The 27,224-nt window shown below is 37.9% G+C and overlaps 1 protein-coding gene, 1 non-coding gene and 1 pseudogene across 2 annotated transcripts in view, besides 1 other annotated feature; all 3 read right to left on the bottom strand.

Annotated features, from left to right (window-relative positions):
• Positions 1-27,224, bottom strand: part of UTRN (utrophin) — a 567,700-nt gene that overhangs the window by 436,375 nt on the left and 104,101 nt on the right. Inside the window, exon 3 of the mRNA NM_007124.3 lies at positions 13,476-13,537. Within this exon, the coding sequence (NP_009055.2) occupies positions 13,476-13,537 (62 nt within the window). The remainder of the gene's footprint in view (positions 1-13,475; positions 13,538-27,224) is intronic.
• Positions 5,046-5,215: an enhancer, noted in NCBI's record as "experimental_90719 CRE fragment used in MPRA reporter constructs". NCBI's record gives its function as "activates a minimal promoter by MPRAs in K562 erythroleukemia cells, with activity observed for the introgressed 6:144732666 variant allele {active_cell/tissue: K562}" and the evidence as "EXISTENCE:reporter gene assay evidence [ECO:0000049][PMID:34662402]".
• SNORA98 (small nucleolar RNA, H/ACA box 98) lies at positions 10,893-11,005 on the bottom strand. Its single transcript, NR_132778.1, has one exon. It is a non-coding gene; the product is annotated as a small nucleolar RNA, H/ACA box 98 (small nucleolar RNA).
• LOC100420214 (rhomboid domain containing 1 pseudogene) lies at positions 17,822-18,697 on the bottom strand (annotated as a pseudogene).

Below are 27,224 nucleotides of genomic sequence, written 5' to 3'. Positions count from 1 at the left end.
TTTGGCTGTCCCCAAGTCTCATCTCCCTCTACCATCACCATTTTGACAAGTGAGACCAGCACTCATGCTTGCGGCTGGGACACTACTGCTGCTGGATTTTAAAATGTTAGAGCACAAAGGCGAACGGTCAGCACAATGCAAGGGGAGAAGCCAGGGGGGTCTAGCGGGGAGCAAGGGCTGCAAACAACTGCAGTGATGACACATGTGAGGGAAGCAAACCTGATGAGCCCCAGGCACATCTGGAGAATCAGCTGGCTCTGCAGGCTCAAGTGGCAGCTCCTGCTCAGTTCTAGCTAAGGGTGGCCATATGGGAATTCAGGTTCACTGTGGGCAGAACTTCTCATTTTTAAAAAGAAGGTGGAAATCTGAATTTATATGTATAACCTCCTGGTAACTGTAATTTCCTAAAACACTGTGCTAAACAAATAGATCTTGTCTACAGGCACACCAGGTCATAGGGTGACCGATGAGCAATTTCTGCATAGAGCATGACCACATATAGGTGAAATATAGGATTAATCAAAGAGGAATGCCTTAAGGAACTGGTCAACTCTGGAGAAAGGCCACACACAAATATGCACACACCCACACACACACACACACACATACACACACACACATCCACGGACTACAGAATATGATTAATTGCAAATACATCACATATCAAGAAATAATGACTCTTGCTCAGGCCAAAAACAAAGGAGTCATTCCTGATTCATTTCCTTTCACTTCTTCTCCACCTCTAACCTACCCACCAGCCCTGTCCTTCCACTTCCAAAAACACATCCCAAACATGACCACTTCTTACCATGGTCATTGTGTCAACTCTAGCCCAAACCGCCATTATCTATTGCCTGAACTCCAGCTCCAGCCAACTGATCTCTTTGCTTCTACGTAAGAGCCAGAATAATTCCAATTTTAATGTGCAGACCACATTGTGTCAATTTCCCTGATTTACCCTAATGGGCATCCATTACAGGCAAATCCAATCCAAACTCCAAATAAAAATCTTGTGAGATCTGGTCCCACCCTCTCTCTGATCTGATACTGTATTATTCTTACCCTACTTCAATACTCTCAAAGCACAATTATTAATATTTCTACCACAGATCATGTTTTTCAGCAATAGTAGTAGTAATAGAAAAAAATCTACAAAAAATTGAATAAGAAAGTAAGATTTAGAAAGTGCAGTTTGGATTTCTTAAAAGAGTGAAATTCTAATTCTTTGTATCAATAACAAATCAGATGCAGAATTGGGCCTTGGATTTTCCAGTAGAGAGATAGATCAGTGCCTACTTTCTGTCATACAGTATGCGAAAATCAAGGCTGGTGAAAGCAGCTCTTGACTTCACGGCACTCAGATTCCAAATACAGTCATGAGTCACTTAAGGACAGGGATACATTCAGAGAAATGCATCCTTAGGTGATTTCATCATTGTGCAAACATCATAGAGTATATTTACACAAACCGAGATGGAATAGCCTACAATATACCTAGGCTAGATGGTATAGCATATCACTCCTAGGCTACAAACCTATAGAGCATGCTACTGTACTGAATAATGCAGGCAACTGTAACACATGGTAAGTATTTATGTATCTAAACACAGAAAAGGTACAGTCAAAATATGATATAAAAGATTTTAGGCTGGATACAGTGGCTCATGCCTGTAATCCCAGCACTTTGGGAGGCCAAGGCGGGTGGATCACCTGAGGTTGGGAGTTGGAGACCATCCTGGCTAACGTGGTGAAACCCATCTCTCCTAAAACATAAAAATTAGCTGGTTGTGGTGGTGCACACTTGTAATCCCAGCTACGCAGGAGGCTGAGGCAGGAGAATCGCTTGAACCTGGGAGGCGGAGGTTGCAGTGAACCAAGACTGCGCCACTGCACTCCAGCCTGGGCAACAGAGAGATACGCTGTCTCAAACGAAAAAAAAAAAAAAGATATAGTACACCTGTATAGGACACTTAACATGAATGGTGCGTACAGGACTAGAAATTGCTCTGGGTGAGTGGTAAATGAATGTGAAGGCCTAGGACATTACTGTATACTACTGTTGACCTTATAAACACTGTACACTTAGGCTACACTAAATTTATTTTTAAAATATTTTTCTTTCTTCAATAATAAACCTTAGATTACTTTATAAATTTTTCAATTTCTTTAATTTTTTGACTTTTATAATAACAGCTTAAAACACAAACACATCACACATCTGTGCAAGAATATTCTGTTTCATTTTGTCCTTATTCTACAAGGCTTTTTCAATTTTTAAAACTGTATTTTTTTAGTTTTCAAACTTTTTTGTCAAAAACTAAGACACAAACATACACATTAGCCTAGGCCTACACAGGGTGAGGATCAATAATATCACTGTCTTCCACCTCCAGATCTTGTCCCACTGGAAGGTCTTCAGGGGCAATAACATACATGGAGCTGTCATCTCCTATGATACCGATGCCTTCTTCTGGGACACCTCCTGAAGGAACTGCCTGAGGCTGTTTTGTAGTTAACTTTTTTTTTTTTTAATGAGTAGGAGTACCCTCTAAAATAATGGACCAGACACAGTGGCTCACACCTGCAATCCCAGCACTTTGGGAGGCCAAGGCGGGCAGATCATGAGATCAGGAGTTCGAGACCAGCCTGCCAATATGGTGAAATCCCGTCTCTACTAAAAATACAAAAATTAGCCAGTCGTGGTGGCACATGCCTGTAATCCCAGCTACTCAGGAAGCTGAGGCAGAAGAATCGCTTGAACAGGGGAGGTAGAGGTTGCAGTGAGCCATAATTGTATCTCTGCACTTCAGCCTGGGCAACAGAGCAAGACTCCATATCAAAATAAATAAATTAATTAAATAATGATAAATTTATAATAAATACATAAGCCAGTAACACAGTTGTTGGTTATCACTACCAAGTATTATGTACTGTACATAAGTGTATGTGCTAGACATTTCTACAACTGAAAGCACAGTAGGTTTGTTTACAACAGCATCACCACAAATACCTGATGACACAGTTTGGCTGTGTCCCCACCCAACTCTCGAATTGTAGCTCCTATAATTCCCACGTGTCATGGGAGGTGCCCAGTGGGAGATAAGTGAATCATGGGGGTGGGTCTTTCCTGTGCTGTTCTCATGATAGTGAACAAGTCTCATGAGATCTTATGGTTAGTTCCCTGCACATGCTCTCTCTCTTGCCTGACGCCATGCAAGACGTGACTTTGCTCCTCCTTTGCTTCTCACCATGGCCTCCCAGCCATGTGGAACTGTGGGTCAATTAAACCTCTTTCCTTTATAAATTACCCAGTCTGGAGTATGTCTTTAGTAGCAGCATAAGAACAGACTAATACACTCGAGTAAATGGCATTGTGCTATGCCCTTATAACAGTTACAGCATCACTAAGCTATGGGAATTTTTCAGCTTCATTATCATCTTCTGGGACCACGATCATATATGTGGTCCATCAATGAGTAAAACATCCTTATGTGACACATGACTGTAGATTTAAACAAAAAACAGTACTAACATAATATGGCAAACACGTTAAGGTGAATTTGCAAATCTAGCTTGGTGCTGCCAAAATTGTACAAAGAAACAGATACAGCAGGGAGACAGAATCTGTCCTATGACTTACCTAAACCCATTATCAGCAATCAAGTTATAACTGCATATAATAAAAACAGTTGGAAGATAACAGATTTTAAATGCTTTCAAAAGTAACATGTCTGATGAGTGTCATCTTACAAACGAATAACAAATTTGAGCCCTTCGACACTGATTATTCTATTATTTATTTACACCCTATTTTCAAAACAGGATTTGAGACACTCTAGTTAATTCAATTACCAGTCCCATTGTTTACTGTGTGTGTGTGTGTGTGTGTGTGTGTGTATGGTGTGTGTATATATATATATATACACACACACACACACAAACATATATAGTGTATATACCATAATATATTCACACTCTCCTCAGATTAATTTGAGATTAATCTGATGCCCCTGATAGTTCAAAATGATGCCCAAGCATCTGATAACATTGTAAATTTTATGGTCTCTCTCTCTCCCTCCTCATCTGTTTTTTGCAAGAAGTTGGTTAATTTAAAAATTCAAAAAGAAATAATTTAATGCAACATTTCTAAACCTTTTCAAATTAGAATCTTTAACTCATGAACCCCAATTTCAACACTGACACAAATGTAGCATCTTTTACATTCTTGTAATTTTTCAATTTCTTAATAATCAATAATGCATCAGTAAGCACTATGTACATCATCTTAGTTAATGATAATATATTTATATGATAATACATTTTTAAACCATTATACAACAAAATGCTACACTTTTTCTCTTGGTAGTGGAATTAAAAGTAGTTTGAACAATTTTCTTTGGATTTATTGATTTATCTAATTTTTACAAAGTTTATGTATTACTGCATAAAACAAATAATAGATGTTTTAAAAAGAATGCTGTCTCTAGTCAAGATTAAGCAAAATGATAAAATTAGGTTCATCTCAATTATAAAATGTGTAGTTGAATCAACGAAATGAAGACTGTATGATATGTAGTATTTACTTTTATGATTCAACTCTGTGGTAAAAGAACAAACACAGCATTGCTTTCCACAGAGAAGACTGAAAGTAAAATGAGGGCACTGCAATAATGCCTAATGAGTTCCTTCCACACCTCGACAACAGAAAACCAGCAAAATGTGCTCCAGTCACTTAAACAATTAGTGACTGCAGATCTCTCAGCCGTCCTCTTTAAGAATTCTGGGTGGTCAGCATAAGTTGCTAAGAATTGAAAAAGATTCCATTTAGAAGCTTGCTTGGAAGGAGGGAGGGAGAGAAGAAGAGGAAGAGAGAAAGACAAGAGAAACAGATGGTGCTGGTCATCACAGAGTATGCCTCATTAACTACAGAGCAATGATTTACAGTGTTTACTGTAAATGTGCAGAGAACACTCCGAATCAGTAAATGTGCACCTACCTTCAGAACTATAAAATACTGTAAAACACATGCCAAACCAAGTAATATCTTTCAGGGAATCACAAGTCATACAGACATGTAACAGAATGTTTACCTCGATTTTGGTAAGTTACCGGTATAGTGATGATAAAATCTGGGATGATAAGAAACCACTGTGGGGCTCAGATACCTGGCGGCCAGAGGCAGGGGCCACTAGCATACTCCACGGACAATCAGGTGAGGGCTGGAGGCTGAATAAGCTCTGACTCCAAATTAGCAAGTAAAAAAGAAAATGGGCTAAGGACATGAATGGACAATTCTCAAAAGCAGATATACAAATGGGCAACAAGAATATGAAAAAATGCTCAACATAACTAATGATCAGGGAAATGCAAATCAAAACCACAATGCCATACCACTTCACTCCTGCATGAATGGCTGTAATCAAAAAATCAAAAACCAATAGATGTTGGCGAGGATGCAGTGAAAAGGGAACGCTGCTGGAAATGTAAACTAGTACAACCACTATGGAATACAGTGTGGAGATTCCTTAAAGAACTAAAAGTAGAACTACCATTTGATCCAGCAATCCCATTACTGGGTATCAACCCAGAGGAAAAGAAGTCATTATACAAAAAAGATGCTTGCACACTCATGTTTATAGCAGCACAATTCACAATTGCAAAAACATGGAACCAGCCCAAATGCCCATCAGAGGTAGGCATTTGGAAAAGGAGCCATTATACCAAAAAGATGCTTGCACATGCATGTTTATAGCAGCACAATTTGCAATTACAAAAATATGGAACCAGCCCAAATGCCCATCGATCAATGAGTGAATAAAGAAATTGTGGTGTGTATATACACACACACACACACACACACACATATACACACCATGGAATACTATTCAGCCATCAAAAAGGAATGAAATAATGGTATCTGCAGCAACCTGGATGAAACTGGAGACCATTATTCTAAGTGAAGTAACTCAGGAATGGGCAACCAAACATCATATGTTCTGACTCATAAGTGGGAGCTAAGCTGTGAGGATCCAAAGGTATAAGAATGATACAATGGACTTTGGGGACCTGGGCGGGGGGTGCAGGTGGGAGTGGGGGTGAGGGATAAAATTTTACAAATCGGGTACAGTGTATACTGCTCGGGTGATGGGTGCATCAAAACCTCACCAAATCACCGTTAAAGAACTTACTCATGTAACCAAACACCACCTGTTCCCCCCAAAACCTATGGAAATAAAACAACATAAATAAATAAATAAAAAGCTCTGACTCTTTATGCATACCAGGCAAGGTCTGTAGGCAAACTCAGGAAACAATATAGCTTATTCCATGTATACACAACTGGCAATACAGTAGAAATGTTTGAAGAAGGCAGTCCTTCAAAAGATAGGCTTCCATGAGACTAGGGTGAGGCACTGGTAATAGCACTGATTATGATAGTGTAAAGGTAAATAAAATCAAAGTTCCTTTGTTCAATATATATAAAGGAGAGGCAGGTACACTGCTCCTTCCCTTCCCTTAGGGTGTCTCCTTAAAACAAAATAGACCCAATTTTTTTGGTCAGGAAATAGATAAATCCAGTCTCCAGTTTTTCAAGCTAAGTTAAACACAGGAGTTGTTGAGAAGGTGGACAAGAGACTATCACAACAAGGCACATCTAGTTGTCTCTCACAGAGACAAGTGTTCATTGTTCTTTCTCCCACTTTACTGAATATTTGTGTGAAATTCTGTCCAGACTTTGACGTCTTTAGCCAACTGCCTGCATGCACTTAACCATACATGCACACTTAATTGTAAATTGTGTTTTCTCTGTATTCTATGTTGGTAACCAGAGGTACCAGTGTTGGCAGGGTTTTTTATTTCTCCAACAAATAATAACAAAAATAAATGTCAGCTTCCCCCTAAGTGTGACTCCCCTCATGGCTGGTGGATGGTTACCTGTGGCAATTGCAGCTAAAAGCTTCCCAGGCCAGATACAGCTGGAAATGGGTCCAGTGTCTCCTTGCTCTGTGTAATAGGTAGAGATTCTCTCCCCTCAACCACTACCTCTCAGCAATCCCCTCTTGATACCTTACTTCCCACCCTGGCATAAGCCCACCCTTCCCTGCACCACCAGAGCCCATCTCTGAAGCTAGAGATGGTGGGGCCACAAGAGGCTGAATGGGAAAGCACAAGGAAGGTGGTCCTGCTCACTCCTTCCTAAGTGAAGGGTGAAAAGTCATTTCCTCCCAGTTGATCAATTTCTAAACTGATCGTCAATTACAAAGACTACCAAATTTGCTTCACAATTATGAATACCAATAGGCTGAATCAAAACCCTGTATTAAGTACTCATCAAAGCATAGCATATTAAATAATACTTGACAGTTTTAATTTTAATCATTTGTTTTTAGTTTTAACCAAGGTGAAGTTCATTTTACAAACAATTTTGAGACAAAAATCAAATTTTAAAAATTCAAATTGAATGAAAACAAAACAAACAGCAACAACAACAAAGCTTGCATAAGTATAGCCAAAGTATCTGGAAGCTGGTGTTTAAGAATATGGAGTACATTTTATTGTTTTCTTTTTAGAGGTATTAGTGAATAGACACAAATTCACATTTCTTTTTAAGGAACCACTTGAATGTGTATGGCTCCTAAAACAATCAGTTGAGTTGCCATATGCATACTCATGAAATAAACCAATGGCAGACCCAATGTGTAACTCTTCAAGCTCAAGCCTCTACTATAGATGGGATTTATCTTCACACAGGAAGCCTGTCAGCCTCTTTACAGTACTAAAGAGAAGACTGAATATCTAGAGGTGGAAAAGGGTTTGGGCTCCTTTTATTGCACCTCCTGTACAAATCTCCCTCCACATCTTTTCCCACCCTTATTTTAGTGATTATTAACTTCCAACATGAAAAAAGTAGGAAAACAATCTAAAAGCAATGTCTCACTGTCTCCTAAAGGAAAACATCTTAATAGCTCTCCATATTGGAATCCATAAAAAATGCTTCATGGCTTTCCTCTCTTACGTTCTGTCAATTTGAATTTCAAGGTTGGAATTGTAACTTACATGAAAACTTGGCTCATCTGTGTCTTAGAAAAGAGAAAAGCAGGGATTTGCACAAACTCAAGTTCAGCATTTTTAATTTTGCATATTTTCTACCTAACCTTTATTTGTGAAGCCTCTTTAGAGAACCATCTCACCAAATGGATAAAAGAACTTCTGCAATTTGTATGTTTTCAGCTCTGCCAGATGAGCAGCTCTGAAAGTCAGCCAAAGAAAATGCAGGCTCAAAGTCAGAGCAAATTTCCCAAAGCAAAGCAATGAGGCCTTTGCTGCCTCCCTTGGGAGACCGGCCGGCTAACAAGCCAGAGGCTCTGAAATTTAGAAGGGGCAAAACACTCAAGTCATACACACCATACAATGGAAGAACGCGGGCTTAATGAGCCAGTGCTTTTTCCCTTTTCTGTTTACGTGTGGCACGGATCCACAGATCAGGACTATCACAGATTCGAGGTATATGATAGGGTTTTTATTTTGCATTCCTAAGTAATTATCATCTCCTATACACTTCTCAGCAATGCCTCAATATTTCTTCACGATATAAGGAAGGTAATAATGATCGATTGCGTCTTATGGCTATGGAAATGTAGACCAGGTGATCTGAAAAAATTGACTAATAATTTGCCTGAGGTCATAAATAAATGAGCAGGATATCCAGAAATAAGTGTTTAATTTCCTAATTTTTAGCTTTTTTTAGATAATCACTTTTTCTGAGCTCTTCATAACTTTTAAAAATCCAAGAGCCATAATTTACTCTACACTATGACTTCTCAGGATCCTGAATTCCAAAGCACTGTATACTCCATGATATGTTCACAAGGATTTGCAGCAAAAAGAATACATATTTTGAGTGAGCACTGTCTTGGTTACTGTATATTCATTTACAGTTACAAATTAAAAGATGGTTTTAGACTGATATTATTCTCAAGTTCTTTACCAAATCCCTTATCAAGAAAAGAATTGTTCTGGCTTTAAGTTTTAAGTCTTATTTTTCTTCACAGTGAATTTAATAGTTAGACCCTATGTGAAGAATTGTATTGGGTAAATAAAACAATAATATGCATTAAGTCCAAGTGGTTATTTAACAATCACTGCAGCACAACTCCAAGAAATCAGGTAAATAGGGAAAGTTTGGATAGCTGGATTTGTTTATTTTTGTCAATAATGCAGCAAAAGTCCTGATGCATTGTATTCATATCCAGGACTTAGCACAATTCATGCCATGTTGCACTCAGTCCTAAACTCTACTCCTGTCTCTCCAATGCAACCATCCCCAAGTGGCTTATGAACATATAGAATTAGGCATATTCAATGTATGTCTATGTCATTGTCATTCATTTATTTATTAAGCCTACAAATAGTTTACTGGATACCTACTAAATGCCAAAAGATATGCCAATAAGCAAATAGAAAGTCCCTGCACCCACAGAGTTTATGTCTAACCTAGGAAAAAAGGCTGGCAACTATTTAAATTACAGTATGGTAAGTGCTTCAAATCATAACACTTTGAGAGTATACAGCTTATCTACCCTAGTCTGGGAGCTCAGAAAAGAGATCCTTCAGGAAGCAACATTTAAGCTCAGACAAGCAGGAAGGGGTAGGAGCTGGCCAGGAAGAGATAGAGAAAGGACTGTGTGCAAAGGCCAGGGAGGGCCCACCGGGATGGTAAGCAAAGGCCGTGTGGCTGGAGCAAAATGAGGGAGCGAGAGGAAAGTAAAATAAAATTAGGAGTAAATTGGGAGGCAGCTATTTAGAGCTTTAAGAACCAAGTAAGACCAAAACATCACACTATATACCAAAAATTATACAATTTCAATTTTTAATTGTGTTTTTTAAAAAAAGGAAAATGGGCACCCAACGAAAGAGCTTACAGAAGAGAAAAAGGTATTCAGGTTTACCCTTTAGAAGCACCGTAGATACTCTCTTGAAAATGGAAGGGGAGGCCGGGCGTGGTGGCTCACGCCTGTAATCCCAGCACTTTGGGAGGTCGAGGCAGGCGGATCACTTGAGGTCAGGAGTTTGAAACCAGCCTAGCCAACATGGTGAAACCCCATCTCTACTAAAAATACAAAAATTAGCTGGGCATGGTGACATGCGCCCATAATCCCAGCTACTAGGGAGGCTGAGGCAGGAGAATCGCTGCAACCTGGGAGGCAGAGGCTGCAGGCTGCAATGAGCCAAGATTGCACCACTGCACTCCAGACTGGGCAACAGAGCTAGACTGTGTCTCAAAAAAAAAAAAAAAAAAAAAGAAAAGAAAAAAAAAGGAAAGGGAGATGGAGAAGGTGGAGCATGGAATGGAAGAACCAATTAGCAGATTATCACAGTGGTCCATGTATTCAAGGATAATTTTCCAACAAGGTAAAGTCATAACTCTCAAACCAATGTGATAATAATGTCTGTCAAAGATTTATTTAACTCATTAATTAATGAGGGACCCAGTAAGCTGTTACAACCAGTTCAGGGGAAAATTTTTAAAAACACATGTTTTACACAAGAAAAATGAAAACTGAAATAGATTTGCAATAGATGCAAAAACTGGTCTATCCAAGGAGTAATAATTAACTGCTTTACAAATAATTTTCATTTTTATGGATAAGAATCATTTGCATACCTATTTTCCACAACTTACCTAGTCGTAAAGTAGCTCAAAAGTAATTAAAGGCAGAGATAATTCAGATGCCTGAGCTAACAGGACACCCACTAGTTTTTTGCCCATTGTAAAGTCTCTCACCATTTTTTCTAATACAAATAACAATGCCTTGGAAAAGAGACGTGTCACTCTACATAGAGTAAGTGGACAATTTTGAATATATGTAGGTATTGGAATTAACAAGGCTCGATGTTTGATTGACTTTTGATGGGGAGGAGGCCACAAAGGAAATATCTAGACAAATGTCTGTTTTAAAACAAATTCCTAAATGGCAGAAGGTGCCATCAGTGTCTGTTTGGATTTCTCAGCACAGAGGTCCTGTTGCTCTGTTTAGGAACCCACACTGTAGGGAAGTAGTGGACCCACTGAAAAATTATATTGTAAAACCCACCACAATGTACCAAAGGACATGGATTTTTAAAAATGAAAAAAAAAATTCGTTCCCTTCAACGGGATTTATTTTTTTTTCTTGTTCTATCCTCGCATTACCTAGTAATACCAGGCATGAATACGGTCTTTCCCCAGCTCAGCAAGAGTTAAGCCACATGGGAGTCTATGGAAATCTCCCAGTCTAGAAATGTGTTACTCCCTCTTTCACTATCCCCAATTGGAAGCAATCCAACTTATGGTCTTAAGACAGCCAGAAGAAAGAAAAAATAATGTGGATGTTTAGTGTCACTGCCATGAGCTTCCCATCTCCAAATATTCATAATTTCTCAGATAAATTCCTTCTAGGTTTTGATTTCTTGCTAGATGAAAATAAAAGTTTTCAGAGTCATCCCACGTTTGGTAGTTTTTCTCCAAACACCATCTCCAAACACTAACACAGAAGCTGAGCTTAGAAACTACCATCTCCAAACACTAATAGAGAAGCTTTTAGCTAAAACTAACTATAACTTTTACTAAAAATGATAAAAATTACCAAGTCTTTTCCAGTATCTTGGTAAGAAATACAAATATTCCAGGGCAAACAATTTACATGGGACTTAAAGCCCCATTTAATTGCAAAATAATAGACATTATAAATGCACAAATTTAAATATCAAGTTCATTTAATAAACTAGTCTGGTACTACCAGATTTTGTTTTCTTTGAGGTCTTTTTAAAGGTGTCAATGACCCACCATAAATATTGAGAAATTTCTTTTCAATTATTCTGTCTCAGTTGTCATCTCTCTTCCTCTACAAACCCTTTCCATGTCCTATTTTACTACCTATTTCTCTCCATTTTCATAAATAGGTAAAAAGTAATTTACCCAGTTTCAAATGCTCTCTAAACTTAGGTCTACCAAGTTTAATGCTTTCAAAACAATCTTCAAAATTAGTTCTAAGGCAATTCTTCCCCAAAGACTAAATTAAGCTGCTAAAAACTGCTTCACTTGTTCTATCTAAACAATTACTGTGTTATCCTCGTGAATAACCAGGAAAAATAATCTTACTTTTATGAGCAATCATAAGACCACTGGAATAAAACACCTCATATCCAGACTCCCAGTTGCTAAAACTACATTCTCTGGAAAATGGTCACATGCAGATGAATAGTTCAAAAGTTTTTATTCATGTCAAGCCCGAGATGCACATATGTTACCTGTGTCTCTGGAATAAAACAAACTAAAATTTACCAAAACACACCTGCATGTGATTTGGAATAATCCTACACATATAACTGCCAATTATGCAAGCACCTTTATGTTCTAATTCTCTGTATTTTTAACCCTCTGTCAAAGTTGGTTTTCATGTTCCTTACATACTCACAGGCAAGATAAAATACCCCTCAAGATAAACTCGCAAAGCCCAAAAAGCAGTGAAATCAAATAACCAACTATAAATATTGGGACGTGGAGCATTTTTTAAACTATGCTGCTACTCAAAGTAACCTTAAGATATCCTCATTTTTCCTCAAGAAATACCAATGTTTGTCTCTCTGACCTTTACAACTTTTGAAAAGCAACCAAAAATTTTGAAAAGCAACTCTTCATTAAAATAGCTTTTATACTATTTAAAAGACCACAACAGTGTTTCTCTGAGAAACTTCTATTTTTCATCTTGTTGTAGAAGAGTCCTAAACAATCTGTTATCCTGAAAACTCTCCTCCTACCTCAGGCTTAGTGCACAAAATTCCAACACCAATAACTAATAGATAATCATATTAGAACAGATTTGAAAATAGCACTGACAATTCCTCTCTTCAGCATGCTCTGCCCCTATGAAAAAATATTGCTCAAAGCATTGATTATGTTCTAAATGGTTAGAAATGCTAAGAGTAGATCTTTGGGGTGGGGGAGGAATTAAGGAAGTACACAAGAAAAAACAACCCACAAGGCAGATAAATATTATTAGCCACATCCACAAGAATAAAAATCCATAAATATTTCTGACAGGGTAGAAAGACTGCCTGAATTATAACATTTGGTTTTAACCAGGCAAAATGAAATCATCATCCTCTTAACCAAGAGAACTCAAAAATTTTCCCAATGATATATTCTTTTCCAAGATGTACCCAGGATTCACAGAATCGAAAGCAGCTAACTGCTGCCTTAGATATCTGGAGAAGGCCAGGTAAAAGTCAATAGCGTCCCATAAACTATGTGCATGAGAATTTCCGTTTAAACATATTTTAGGACAGAATAAAGGAACAACAAATGTATCTGCATACTCAGAAGACTTCGGCTAGGTGACATTTCCTGGGGAAAATTCACTGCACTTCCAACCAAACTCCTTCAATCAGAATGCGGCATCTGAACCATCGAAGTTTTTGAAAGTCTCAGTTACCTTTGAAAATCGAGCATTTATCCATTTGGTAAAGGTTTTCTTCTGTACGTCATTGTGTTCATCTGTGGAATGGAAAAAGAAAGAGAAGGAAAAAGTATGAGAGTCTGTACCTTTAGTAAAGCACCAAATAAGGTTATCTCTATCCTGGAGAGTTTAAAATAGTCCTATTAGTCGAGCTCCTTGAGCACAATGAGGCGGAGCTAATGCAGAATGTGATGACTGCCCGGTACACTTATGGAGCCCAACACTGCCTACAACAGAGGGAGGCTCGGGCACCTTTCCCAAGGGACCAGGTTGTCTCACCCTAAACCCCGGAGTCCTGCCATCAGTGACCAAATCCAGGTTTATCGGATCAAATCAGAGCCCTACTTTCCAGCTAGTACCCGTAGCACTTTCTGCTACATTTTGTGCAAGTAAAATTTCAGCATAATCAAAATGTCAGCATGCTAAAAACAAAAATTAAAGTTATCCAATAAAAACTCAGGAATTCGTGACTTCCTCCCTCTTCATACTGGTCCTACACCCTCTAGAATGACAGTATAAGGTTTATGGTCAATCTTGTAACCCATTTTCCTGTAGTAAGATTGGCATGAGGTTTTAATGATCTTGATCTATACGAACTTTTACAGGTAGAAAAATCAGAAGAATTTAAAACCATTATCCGTTTTGGTTTTGATTACAAATTCATTTTCTGAGCCATAAAAAAAAGAAAAGTTACTTTAAAAGACTGACCACCCTGAACTTTTGAAATATGGGTAGAAGGATTTGGTTACATACAAGGAGTCCATGTGGCTAACAAAAAGAGAAAAGGACTTTCTCTTTAGAACCAAATAGACGGTGTCCCAATCCATTTATTGTGTGACCTTGGGTCATTATAACATCGCTTTTCCTCACAGTTCTCATCTGTAAAATGGGGATAAATAATACCTAGCTTGCAAGAGTATTGTAAAGGTTAGTGAATATAAATGAAAAGCACTTGACGAAGAGCTGGTGTTCAGCTCGTTGTTATAATGATTACAGTAAAAGTGTAAGCAAGGTAGATAAATAAATATTCATTGGACCTCTTCAAATCATACTCTTCCATCACTCCACGATTTTCTATTAAAGCCAGTAAAAGAGTCATTGTTGGCTTAAATCCTACAAAACAGCATTTTCACAATCTCTATCAGTTGTTCAGAAAGCTGTCCAAGGCGTATCTGCGACAGTGCAGAAAGGTGTGGCTCCATCCATATGTGTGTCCTGCCTCCTTTGCCACCTTTTATACTGCTGGGCTGCCTCCCACATCAGAGCAGCAAAATAATAATGGAGGAAGCCCAGGTGTGCTTGGCCCTCCAGTGTCAGTTCCACATTAAATACAGACCTGCTCACGAACCTCTGCTAGGATCATTAGAGGTTCGCCTACCACTTCACCCAGTTTGTGGTCTTCGGTCCTTACCCCCTTGTGGAAGGAGAGTTTGTAATTAAAAGGTCATTCCCAGAATAAATATAGCAGCAGCTTCAGAAAAAAAAAAATGCACTTTTACAAATCCATAAAGGTAATTGGAGACCAACTCCAAGACACTAAGGGAGCAAGTGGTATAGAAAACAAAACTGCTGTTTAAGAAACTCCTTGATATTAATGGTGCTCAGAGGTGACCTTCCTTCAAGAAAGGACAGCAAAGACAGCAACGATCCCTATTTCAAGCTTTATATTATCTGATCAAGGCCACATAAGCCATTTATTAACCAAGAGAACTTGCTTACACAGTGAATGACCCTTTACCATCTTCATATCAAAGAGGGACACAGTAGAGATTATACTCAGAATATAAGGCTACCACCACACATCAACCTGAAGGGGGGATATACCAGCCTCACCAAAATGAATTTAATATTAAAAATCAGTGTTTAGGGCATTTGGAAAATCCAATTATTTGTCCCACTACCTTAAAAAGGATTTATTTTCATAAATCTTGTTATATGCAGTTTCATTTAATCCCATGAATAAAAAAATATAGAAAGGTCATAAATAAGTATTAAATTATCTTAATTTGATAACATTCACACAACTTAAGAATTTGGGGCCATAAAAATGGAAAAAATTCTAAGAGAGAAATCTTACTACATTTTACATTTTCTTAACCTGTTTCCGGAGCATTTAACTTTCTTATTTCAAAAACATATTAAAATATCTAATACTATGTAGGTTTCTCCCCAGATATAAAGTGGGCAAAGAAATGAGCACTATTACCCTATCAATGATAATAATCTTTCCATTTTATCACATATGAAATGAAATAAAATTTATGGATTCCCATTCTTATGTTTGTAAAAATGAGTAAGATAATATTTCAACAATAGTCTTTATTTTATGGGTCAAGTCAATGTCAGAATATAAGTCTAAGTAACAGACAAATTATTTGCCTGTAAACGATACATTTTCTAACATCCAAATGTTTCAAAAATACTTCAAAGTTTATAAACACACTTCCGCATTCATTCTCTTGATACAGTTAAAAATGGGGAAAAGGGAGTACATATTTCAAAGACTAGTTTGCATTTTCCTTTTTTCAGACACACACACACATACAAACACACATACTTCTTATTTTCTACTAGACAGGAATTCAGTAAAAGAACAAGAATTTGCCTGTGGCTTTTCAATTATGAGATTGAAATGTAACAAATTTCACACACTTACTAACCTCCACATCACAACAATTAAGGTAAACAATCTTGGCCCAGATCTCGGGCACGTAAAAATAGCAGACGAGTAACAGGACAACTAAAACTCCGTCATGCTATTCTGATCAGCCATTTTGTCTGCCTAGAAATTTATACAGAACTTCCACAGTCTGAAATTATTTCAATCTTCATTATCAAGCCAATTCGTTATTTTAACTTCTCCAAAACAAAAATGTGTAAGAATGCAACAAACATACTATAACTTGATTATAAATATATATGTATAATATTAAGTGAATGAATATAATTTACACTGCATATACACCTTCTCTAAATGTATTCTTTCAAGCTCCCAAATTCAAACCCTGTTTTCCTTAGGCTTGGATTTTTGAAAACCATTTTGTTTCTAAAAGCCTTTGCTGGCTTAGCAAATCTTATCCATTAATGACCTTTCTCCATTAGAGGGATGAACACGAGACTGAATTAGAAGAAGAAAAATGTGTTAAATCCCTTAAGGCTGCTTTCCCAAATTCTTCCTCTAAATATTTTGCTCTTCTTAAAATGCTTTTGACATGCTCACACAGATCCAAAGGCCTTCACTGCTGCCTAGCCTGGGATTTTATTTCTGTGATAGGTAAAAGAAGTATAGCAAGACACATCAACAAAACTGCTTGATAAATCTTCAAGGAAACTGGTTTCAAAATGTTTTCACTTCACCAGCTCAAATGGGTATGGAAAATTGTTTTAGCAGAACGTAGCAACATATATCAATTTAAATCCTAAACTGGAAATGTGGCAGAGAAATTAGGAGTTGTTTCCCCTATGAAAGCACACAAATCACCTCTAAAACTCTACTGTTATTAGAGAGAAAGCATTATCCTCTAGTACACCATTTGAAGCAATTTAAGAGTGTCCAGTTGGCTGACACTAACATAACATGAGTTCCCTAAAGTGCAGCTTATTATTCAGGAAAGTAGCACCTAGACCTTTAGCCAAGAAAGAAATCTCTTATTGGATGATTTTAAACTTGGATTGATTTTATTAAGGCCTCTTTCACAAATGCAAAACTTAACACACCCTAGAAAGCCAATCTCTCGTTAGCAAAGATTATTATTTTGGAAGTAACAAAAGCATTTCAGATCATATTCTCATTTCTTCTTTTTGTGGGCCCTACATGTGAATCACTCCCAATATAATTCTGCCACTCACACTTAGTTATGCCATTATGCTCTCTTGTTTCATCACACCCAATCACACCCAAACACTAATTCATTTATTCAAACAATATTTATTAAAATGTCAAATGGGAATAATAAATATTATATAATAATCTGTAAAATATTATAAATATGTATGTAGACAAAGAAACAAAGCCAACAGGATACAGACTGCTCTCAAACAGAAATGTTTAACCTCCCTGAGTTTCTTTCAAAATCCGACATCCTCAGAGGACCTTAAAAAAGCCAAAATTAAAAATGTAGTTTTCAGAATTGTCAAAACTACCTAAGTGTACAAGAAGTTTAGATAATTAACATTTCAAATGATATTTTTGTGAGTTTGCCACATTTAAACCTTGACGTTATTAAAGCTAAAAACCGCATTTAAAACAGAGTTTCACTTCACTCTGTAAAAAGCTAAATACAAGTTGATTTTTTTTTTTTAACGATATGTTTTGCTTTAGTTTACAATGAACTAGTTGCTTGGGGAATGAATCCGATGGGCAATAATAACACAAGTGGACCATGTCTTCCCAAGATGCTGTGTCACCTCACTGGCTATCAAACCTGTGAAGCCATTATAGTCTCATTTCTTCTGAGAGAAGAAGCCCGCAGGGCAGTGAGCTATTCCTGGTATTTTCTTGATCCCAGGGGCTGGCTCTTCATGCTCTCACAAGCTGTTCTTTTTCTCTCCGTACTGCTGTGTATGTATCATAGCTCCTGGGTGCTTCTTCATAATAACCTGGCCTGCCATAAAGATAATGATCCTGATATCCAGACTAGCCTGAACAATTGAAGTAATATCACTGTCCTGGATAACCAATAATTGGAGGGAAAAAAATGCCAGCACATGCTTCCATGATGTTCTTCAGAGGCCCTTGAGTGTGCATTAATGCAAGAAGAATCCCAGCCAGATGCCCAGTGAAGGAAGTCCCTGGTGAGAATAAGTGAAAAGGCACAAGTGTGGCCCAACAAGCAAATCTATTGAGGACAAGGAAGCCCAAAATGTTGACAAAGCCTCCAAGGCAATGATGGTTGTTAAGAAACTCCAAAGCAAACAAAACTCCTGGAAAAACCTACAGCACAGTACCTTCCAAAGCCAGGTTCATCCAGAAATTAGAGAATATTGCAAGAGCAGGTACACCACCCCAGGGAACAGGGAAAACGTGGTGATGACACAGGCAAACCATCTACTTCCCAGTCATCTTTCCAGATTATTCCTTTCCAGAGCACGGACGCCATATTGAAATACAAATGCCAATCATCAGCAATGGTGAGCAGGAGACAGCAGGCAATGCTGCCAGTCTTTCTGCTGGTAACTCCTCTCTGCCCTAAGGCAAGGAGAGGTGGAAATGGTGGAAGTGAGAAGGGAAAGGAAAACAACTCCACTTGTCAAAGGAGAAGGCTGAGGCAGAAGTTAAATGAATTGTCCAGCATCACCCACCCAGCAAATGCTGGGCCACAGAGAGAACCAGGTCTAACTGACTGTGGAGCCTGTGTTCAATGCACTTCCATGTAGGAGGAGGTTAAAGATAATTTAATGGAAAGAAGGCTTTAAAATATATCTTGAAAAATAGATGAAGTATGGTTCATGCAAAGATGGGAAGGACATTCTAGATAGAATAAGCCTAGTCAATACCTCTTCATTTCAGCCTCAGACTCAATACCTCACAAAAAAGAACATGTTTAATATAATTTTGGTATCTACAAGAAAACACAGAGGGCTATAACATCTAATGATGTCAAAATAAGGCTAAGACAATCCAAATTTCAGAAGTTTTCAATCCTGAAAACTGTATATGCCCATAAAAGAGAAGAAGGGTATGGAGTTAAAATATATGCTTTAAAAATGTTCTTGTAATAAAATCGAGATTATCTGAAAAAAATCAACCTCCTTAAGCAAGCACATGCTCTGCTAGCATGACCCAATGACCCATCCACTCTGCCCAAAACTGAAGGCAATTATGGAGCCTTGGGATCCTAGAATGTCTACAGCCACATCTGGACTGCATTTAGAATTTATATCATGTTCAGCATCAGAGGAACATTTTTTTTTTTTAAGACCGAGTTTCGCTCTTATTGCCCAGGCTGGAGTGCAATGGTGTGATCTTGGCTCACTGCAACCTCTGCCTCCCAGGTTGAAGCGGTTCTCCTCCCTCAGCCTCCCAAGTAGCTAGGATTATAGGCGTGTGCCACCAAGCCTGGCTAATTTTTGTATTTTTAGTAGAGACGGGGTTTCACCATCTTGGCCAGGCTTGTCTCGAACTCCTGACCTCGTGATCCACCCACCTTGGCCTCTCAAAGTGCTGGGATTACAGGCATGAGCCACTGTGCCTGGCCAGAGGAACATATTTGTTCCAGCTGAGAACCAACCTAACCCACCAAAACTATCCACCTTACTATCACGGAGCCACAGAGGACAGGAGTAGGAAGTATATAAGAGGGTGCCTGATGGGATTCCATCCTGTGACCAGAGAGGTCAAGGACTTACCCCTCATGACATGCAGTTGGATGGTGCCATAAATCAAATCAAGATTCATGTCTCCTTACCTAGCTCTCCTCCTACTCACAAGACTGCCTCTTTTTAAAAACCTGTTTTATGGAGGTATAAAATTCACCTACCATACAATTCATCCACACACCTACCATAGAACTCACCTACCATACAATTTACCCATTTAAATTCACCTACTATATAATTCACCCAATTAAAGTTTACAATTCAATCGTTTTTGGCATATTAATAGATTTTTTTTAATTGTGGTAAAATACATAACAATATTTGTGATTTCAGTCATTTTTAATCATACAATTCAGTGGCATTAGTTACACCTACAGTGTTATACAACCATAACCACTATCTAGTCCCAAAACTTTTTCATCACACTGAACATAAACTCTGCTGTCATTAAGCAATAAGTCCCCATACCCACCAGCCCCTGGTAATAGCTAATCTACTGTCCGTTTCTATGCATTTGCCTATTTAAGATATGTCATGTAAGTGGAATCATACAATATTTGTCCTTTTGGGTCTGGCTTATTTCATTTAGCATAATGTTTTCAAGGTTTCATCCATGTTGTAGCTTGTATCAGAACTTCATTCTTTTATAAGGGTAAAAAATATTCCATTGTGTGTATAAACTACAGTTTCTTTATCCATTTGTCTAAAGATGAGCACTAGTTGACCACTTTTTGGCTATTATGAACAATGTCACAATGAACACTGGTGTACAAGTATCTGAGTTCCCGATTTCAGTTCCTTTGGGTGTAGATGCAGGAGTGAAATTGCTAGGTTAATATACAGTAATTCTATGTTTAGATTTTTGAGGAACCAGCAAACTATTTCCCATAGTGGCTGCATCATTTTACATTTTCACCATAATGCATGAGAGTTCCAATTTCTCCATATCCTCACTAATATTTGTTATTTTCCTTTAAAAAAAAATGTATAGCCATCCTAGTGTAAGACTGACTTTGAAAACACAGAAACTACCTAACAAAACCCCCAAACTTAGACACCTCCTGAAGACTTTCTGAATGAGTTCAAGTTTAACAGCATGCTAACCTGAAGTAGCTGGGATTCAGAAATTGCTTTTTCACATTTAATCCACACCATATTGCCAAATGATTGATTTACTCTCAAAATAGTTATTTTCAGAATTAAATGTAACCATTAATTCCATCTTCTAATTTTAGTTTATTTACTTCTTAACCTGTTTTCTTTTCAACAAACTCAAGTTTTTTTAAACAATGCATAGGAATATAGGAGATAATGTTTTTCTACTTGCACTTTCTAGAGCGCCTAAACTTAAACTGAAAGAATGTTTCTAAGATTTACAGGCATCCGACACTGTTTGAAACTTTTCCTCTAGAAATATATTTTGCAAAAAAAAAAAAAAAAACTCAACATCTTTTCTATCAACCATATTATATGTGTTGCAAATGCAGAAAAACAGACTCCATTTATGGTGGTAGAGATTGTAAACCTTACATACAAACACTTCACTTTGAATTTTTGTCCTGGAGTGAAGATTTTCATTAAAATTGCTAGAAATGTCATAGAACAAGGAGGGATTATTTAGGACACAGTGAATTAGTCATAATGATATGAGTCACTGTCATGAAAAGCCAACAGAAAACATTTTTTTATTGATTGACAAAAGGCTAAACTTATGAAAGAAAATTTCTATGAAATTAAATTCCTCACTTTATTATTATCAAATAAACATCTATTATGTTCTACAAACTGTCTGCAGAAATCTCAAGAAAAAGCAACTATCTCATTAACATATAATTCTAGATGTATAAGCCTGGAAAAAAAATGGGGAAAACATTTTGAATGTAAAAACCATTCCAGTGATTTGACCTTCAGACTTTCTCATGACAAGTTCTACTTGTCAAAATAGCAGCAAAAATATGTCCTTGTAAGACTGCTAATTATTCAAATAATATTTTTCTCATTTTAATTACTTTATTTATTTCATTATTTTCCTCATGTTATGAGGGATCTTCCTCATAAATTCACAGAATAAAACAATATAATATCCAAGAAACAGCAATTTTCAAACAAAAAAATGTATAAAATATCCAAAGAAAAAGAGAACAATACTTTACCCAAATATCTCTCCAGATGCATATATAGGAATGCTATGTTTTCTATAGAGCTAATGTAGGAAACCTTTCACTGTATGCCATGTGTCTTCTAAGATCATGACACCGGGTCATCATAGTCAAATAAAAAATATATTGTGAGAGAATACATATTGATATGGTTTGTCTGTGTCCTCACACAAATCTCATTTTGAATTATAGCTCCCATAATTCCCATGGGTTATGGGAGGAACCTGGTAGAAGATAAATCATGGAGGTGGTTTACCCCATACTGTTCTTGTGGTAATGAATAAGTCTCATGAGAGCTGATGGTTTTATAAGGGGTTTCCCCTTTCCTTTGGCTCTCATTCTCTCTTGCCTGCTGCCATGAGAGACGTCCCTTTGCCACGTGGAACTATGAGTCCGTTATACCTCTTTTTCTTTATAAATTACCTAGTCTCCAGCATATCTTTATTAGCAGCATAAGAAGAGACTAATACACATATATATGATAATTCAATAATAAATTGAAAAGCATCAAGCAGTGAATGAGCATTGTAAAAGCCAATGATGACATTCTGAAGCCAACAACTCCAATGGATAAAATGGACCAGCAATAATACAGTTTGGCTTGCTTCCTTACTTCAATTTAGTCCTCTGTGTGTCAGAGCCCATACAACACCTTGAGATAGACAAGACCCAGACAACAGCAATCCACATACATTAAAGCACTGATCTTTCCATTCTTCCAGACAGGAGAGTCTCCAGGTAGCATCAAAGAACAATGCAACCTCAAAAAACTCATGGGTCAAAGAGAAAGTGTCTCCAGCTCGTCAGGATTAGACATCTACAAAAGTTTACATAACCTTAAGGGCCACAATGAACATCCCCTCAAACAAATCTGCCAAGCCTTCTTTACTACACCCCATCATTTGGAGAATCATTGGAGCAAAGACTCTCCCCCTCTTTCTCTCCTCTTCATTTTCAGAACCCACCTCCTTCTGCCTGTTCTACTTTTTTGAACATTCAAACCTCCCTCCATCCTGCGTCACTGAATATTCTTTTTCAACACCCTTCTCTGACGTGTCATGACACAGGCCGCCATCTTGGAATTCTCAGCCACAGAGCCATCCTGCTGTACCAGTCTGGGCTCCCTGCACCATGTGGGTCAGTCTCTTTCTACCATTTCTCTTCTGGATTGCCTTTTTCCATCGTTTCTTTTTCTTCTTAAAACTTCCTATATAATGTCTATAATATACTTTAGAAGATTTCAACATACAAAGTGTAATATGCTTGTGTTAAACTAGTTTAAGTCAGAAGCTTCAAACACTCTTGTTCGTGAACTTCCAAAAGAATTTCCATGCACATTTTAAAGTTGAGAACTGATATTTATCATAAATTTAAATCGTGAAAAAGATGTAATTTCTAGCATGTTGTTAAGGAGTTGCAAATTTAGCTCATTCAATTAATAGAAAATGCCTCCTCTGGTACCTAATTGGCAAAACTAGTCCTCACTGTCAAACTAATCAGCCAAAGCAGATTTATTTTCTGACAAGAGGAGTCTGACTTGGTTTTGGATTTAAAAACCATGTTATAGGTGTTTCCAAATAACATCTCACTTCAGAATTCTCTTTCTAAGATAAAGGGATGGATGGATGGATGAATGGATGGATGGATGGATGGATGGATGGATGGATGGATGGATGGATGGATGGCAGCTGGACACAAAGCCTTGCCCTGGATGCAACAAGCACCAGCCATTTAAAAAATTTGTAAAGGATTGCTCTTTGTTTTGCATTCTTAAATTGTCCTCTTGTTTGATGCCTCACAGCAATGCAGCACAGTAAAATTTGAGGAGAGTGAGAGGTATGACTTTCTTTTATAAAGTCAAAAAGAAGAATTATGAAAGGAACGCTAAGAAAAGAGACAGGTAGGATGCTATCTTGGGTGCCTTAACCACTACAAAAGCTTGCCAAGATCACAGTAAGACACACATATTCCAGTGTGCAAACCACACTAGAGGCTCACATTTGTGCCAAGCCAGTATAACATTCCAGAGAAGTTCAGCTATAATTTAATTAGAAAGGCTAAACTCCAGAGTGGACCACTACAAAGGCATCAGTTATCTTTATTTTCATCAACACCAGAGACTTTGTTAATTAATGAATATGAGAAATGTGCTTTTACTGTGGCTTAATAATTGGCATAATTAGAATGTTAGAAATATTCTCCCACTGTTGATTTTAGTGTTATTCAATGAACAAGGATTGGTCAAAATATTTTCTAGACATGCCCCACCACTGATTAAACAGAATATAAAAATCTAGTGAGTCTGGGAGGCTAGATCCCTAAAGGTCCTATGTTCAGCCATTGGCTGGAGGATTTTAGTTATCTGCTGCTGATTATAAGACTAAATCCTCTCCCTAAGACAACATTGTCTAATAAAAAGATAATGAAAGTCACATACATAATTTTAAAAGCCGCATTAAAAAACAGGTAAAATGAATTTTTAGTAATATGTACTATTTAACCCAATATCTCCAAAACATTATCATTTCAACATATACTCAATATTTTAAAACATCTTGAAAATATATTTTATAGTCTTTTTTTCTTACTAAGCCTTTGAAATCCTGTGTGTATATTACATTTACAGCATTATTTCAATTCAGACTAGCTACAGTTCAGGAACTCAGCACCCAATGCACCAAATTATACAGCTCTAGAATATTGCTGCATTTACTTTAACTATGACCTTCAAAAGGACACAGAGCTGTCGGGCACAGTGGCTCACGCCTGTAATCCCAGCACTTTGGGAGGCCAAGGAGGGCAGATCACGAGGTCAGGAGATCGAGACCATCATGGCTAACAGGTGAAACCCTGTATTTTTGTAAAAATACAAAAATTAGATGGGTGTGGTGGTGCATGCCTATAGTCCCAGCTACTGGGGAGGCTGAGGCAGAAGAATGGTGTGAACCCCGGAGGCGGAGCTTGCAGTGAGCCGAGATTGCACCACTGCACTCTAGCCTGGGCGGCAGAGAGAGACTCTGTCTCAAAAAAAACAAAAATGACACAGAGCTGCAGCTTACCAACTTTACATGCAAGCTGTATGAACTGTTTTTCGAGCCTACTTGCGAATAATGATTGCTTAATGAATGCCAATGTTAATGGCAGGATTTGGTCTGAAACTTGCCTTTATTATGACCCTTATAGGAAGACAGTGGCATTGGGAGCCAACATTACCAATCAAAAAAAAGCCATAATTTATAATTACGCATAATCAAATTGGCTTAGGTCATTTTGTAAGACTTCTAGTCAAATAAACTGACATAATAAGAACTGGGGACCAGGCAAGTGGCTCACATCTGTAATCTCAGCCCTTTGGGTGGCCTCCAGGAAGGATCTCTTGAGCTCAGGAGTTCAAGATCAGCCTGGGTAACACAGGGAGACTCTGTCCCTACAAAAAATCAAAAAAGTGTCTGGGTATGGTGGTACATGCCTGTAGTACCACTTATTCAAGAGGCTGAGGTGGAAGGATTGCTTGAGCCCAGGAGTTTGAGGCTGCAGGGAATTGTGAATGCACCACTGCATTCCAGCCTAGGTGACTGAGCAAGACCTTGTGTCAAAAAAAAAAAAGAACTGGGAATATTTCCAACTCTTTGTTATGTTTGTTGTCTTAAGTTTTATATTTTCTAGTCTAAATGACTAATTGTTATTAAATATAACAATTAGTTGTACAACTATTTTGTGAAAAACACTGTACAAAGAAATAGTAACATTTACAGAGCATCTACTATGTGTCAGTCCCAAAAGAGATCCAGATGTTGCTTTCAAGGAAGCTGTGGTCCAGTGGCCTGGGATGAGTGGGGAAGGGACTAAGACAACAGAAAATTATAACTAATATATCAGGTACAGATACATTCATAAATTCATAGACAAATATGTCTTGATGGGGATGAAAAGGGGATCACGGAAAGATTTGAGGAACAGGTTGCATTTGAGCTAGATCTTGAATTACTATGTTTGGGGCACGTAAAAATGGTTAGAAAGGCATTTGTAGAAGAGAGAACAGCTGCAGCAAAGTCCTAAAAACATGATGCAGACACAACTGTGAAGAGGTTCCTTTGGCTGGGTGGTTTTTTATCAGAGCTGTGATGCCACTGAATTTTGGAACAGGCTGCAGTTAAATTGCAGAGGACTTTGAAGGCCACAGCAAGGGGTTAAATGAGCAGGTAATGTGGGCCATTGGCTTTTCCTGAGCAAGAGCGTGACATGATCAGAAGGGTGCTTTAGTGAGATTAACATGAAAAATGGACTCATGGGGAGGGAGGCCGGAAGAAAGTAAGCCAGTTTGAGGCTTATTAGAATTGCCCGTGCTAGACATCAGCGAGCCTGAAAGAGTAGAGAAGTAATGAGACAAGAAAGGGGGAGGTGGATGCAATAGGTATTGAATTGAAGAGAGAAGGTTGCTGCTGGGACGTGGTGAGGTGGATGGGCATGATCATTATTATACAGCGTGTCTCCCGTTCTATTCTCAATTAGACTCTATGGCTCTTAAGAGACAAAATTTTATTTATTAGTGCTTTTGCCTCACATATTTACCATTTATTTGTGATGAGAAGACTTAAAATCTGCTCTCTATGCTATTTTCAAGTATACACCAAATTGTTATTAACTATAATCATCACCTTGTACAATAGATCTCTTGAAGTTATTCCTCCTGTCAAACTATATTCTTTGACCAATATTACTCCAAGTCCCCCACCCCCATGCTGGGACTGGACTACTGAATTATTATAAGAGTAATGAAGGAAAGGCTGGGCACAGTGGCTCACACCTGTAATCCCAGCACTTTGGGAGGCCAGGATGGGCGGATCATCTGAGGTCAGGAGTTCAAGACCAGCCTGGCCAACATGGTAAAACCCTGTCTCTAGCAAAAATACAAAAATTAGCTGTGCGTGGTGGCAGACGCCTGCAATCCCAGCTACTCAGGAGGCTGAGGCGGGAGAATCGCTTGAACCTGGGAGACAGAGGTTGCAGTGAGCCGAGATCATGCCACTGCACTCCAGCCTGGGCAACACAGCCAGACCCCGTCTCAGGGGGGGAAAAAAAAAAGAGTAATGAAGGAGAAAGGGATGTGCAAAAACTTCTCAGACTTTGGTAACTTAAAGAATGGTGTCTCTCCATTAAAAAATAAAAAGTGCAAAAAAAATTTTTTTAAGCACAGAAAGAAATTGATTAAGGAAAGAAATTCCTCTTTGCACCAAAAAATGTGAGA

The sequence above is a fragment of the Homo sapiens genome, chromosome 6, assembly GCF_000001405.40.
Source record: "Homo sapiens chromosome 6, GRCh38.p14 Primary Assembly".
Taxonomy (NCBI): Eukaryota; Metazoa; Chordata; class Mammalia; order Primates; family Hominidae; genus Homo; species Homo sapiens.
Note: the sequence above shows the minus strand (reverse complement) of the source record. Positions and strands in the feature narration are given on the sequence as shown.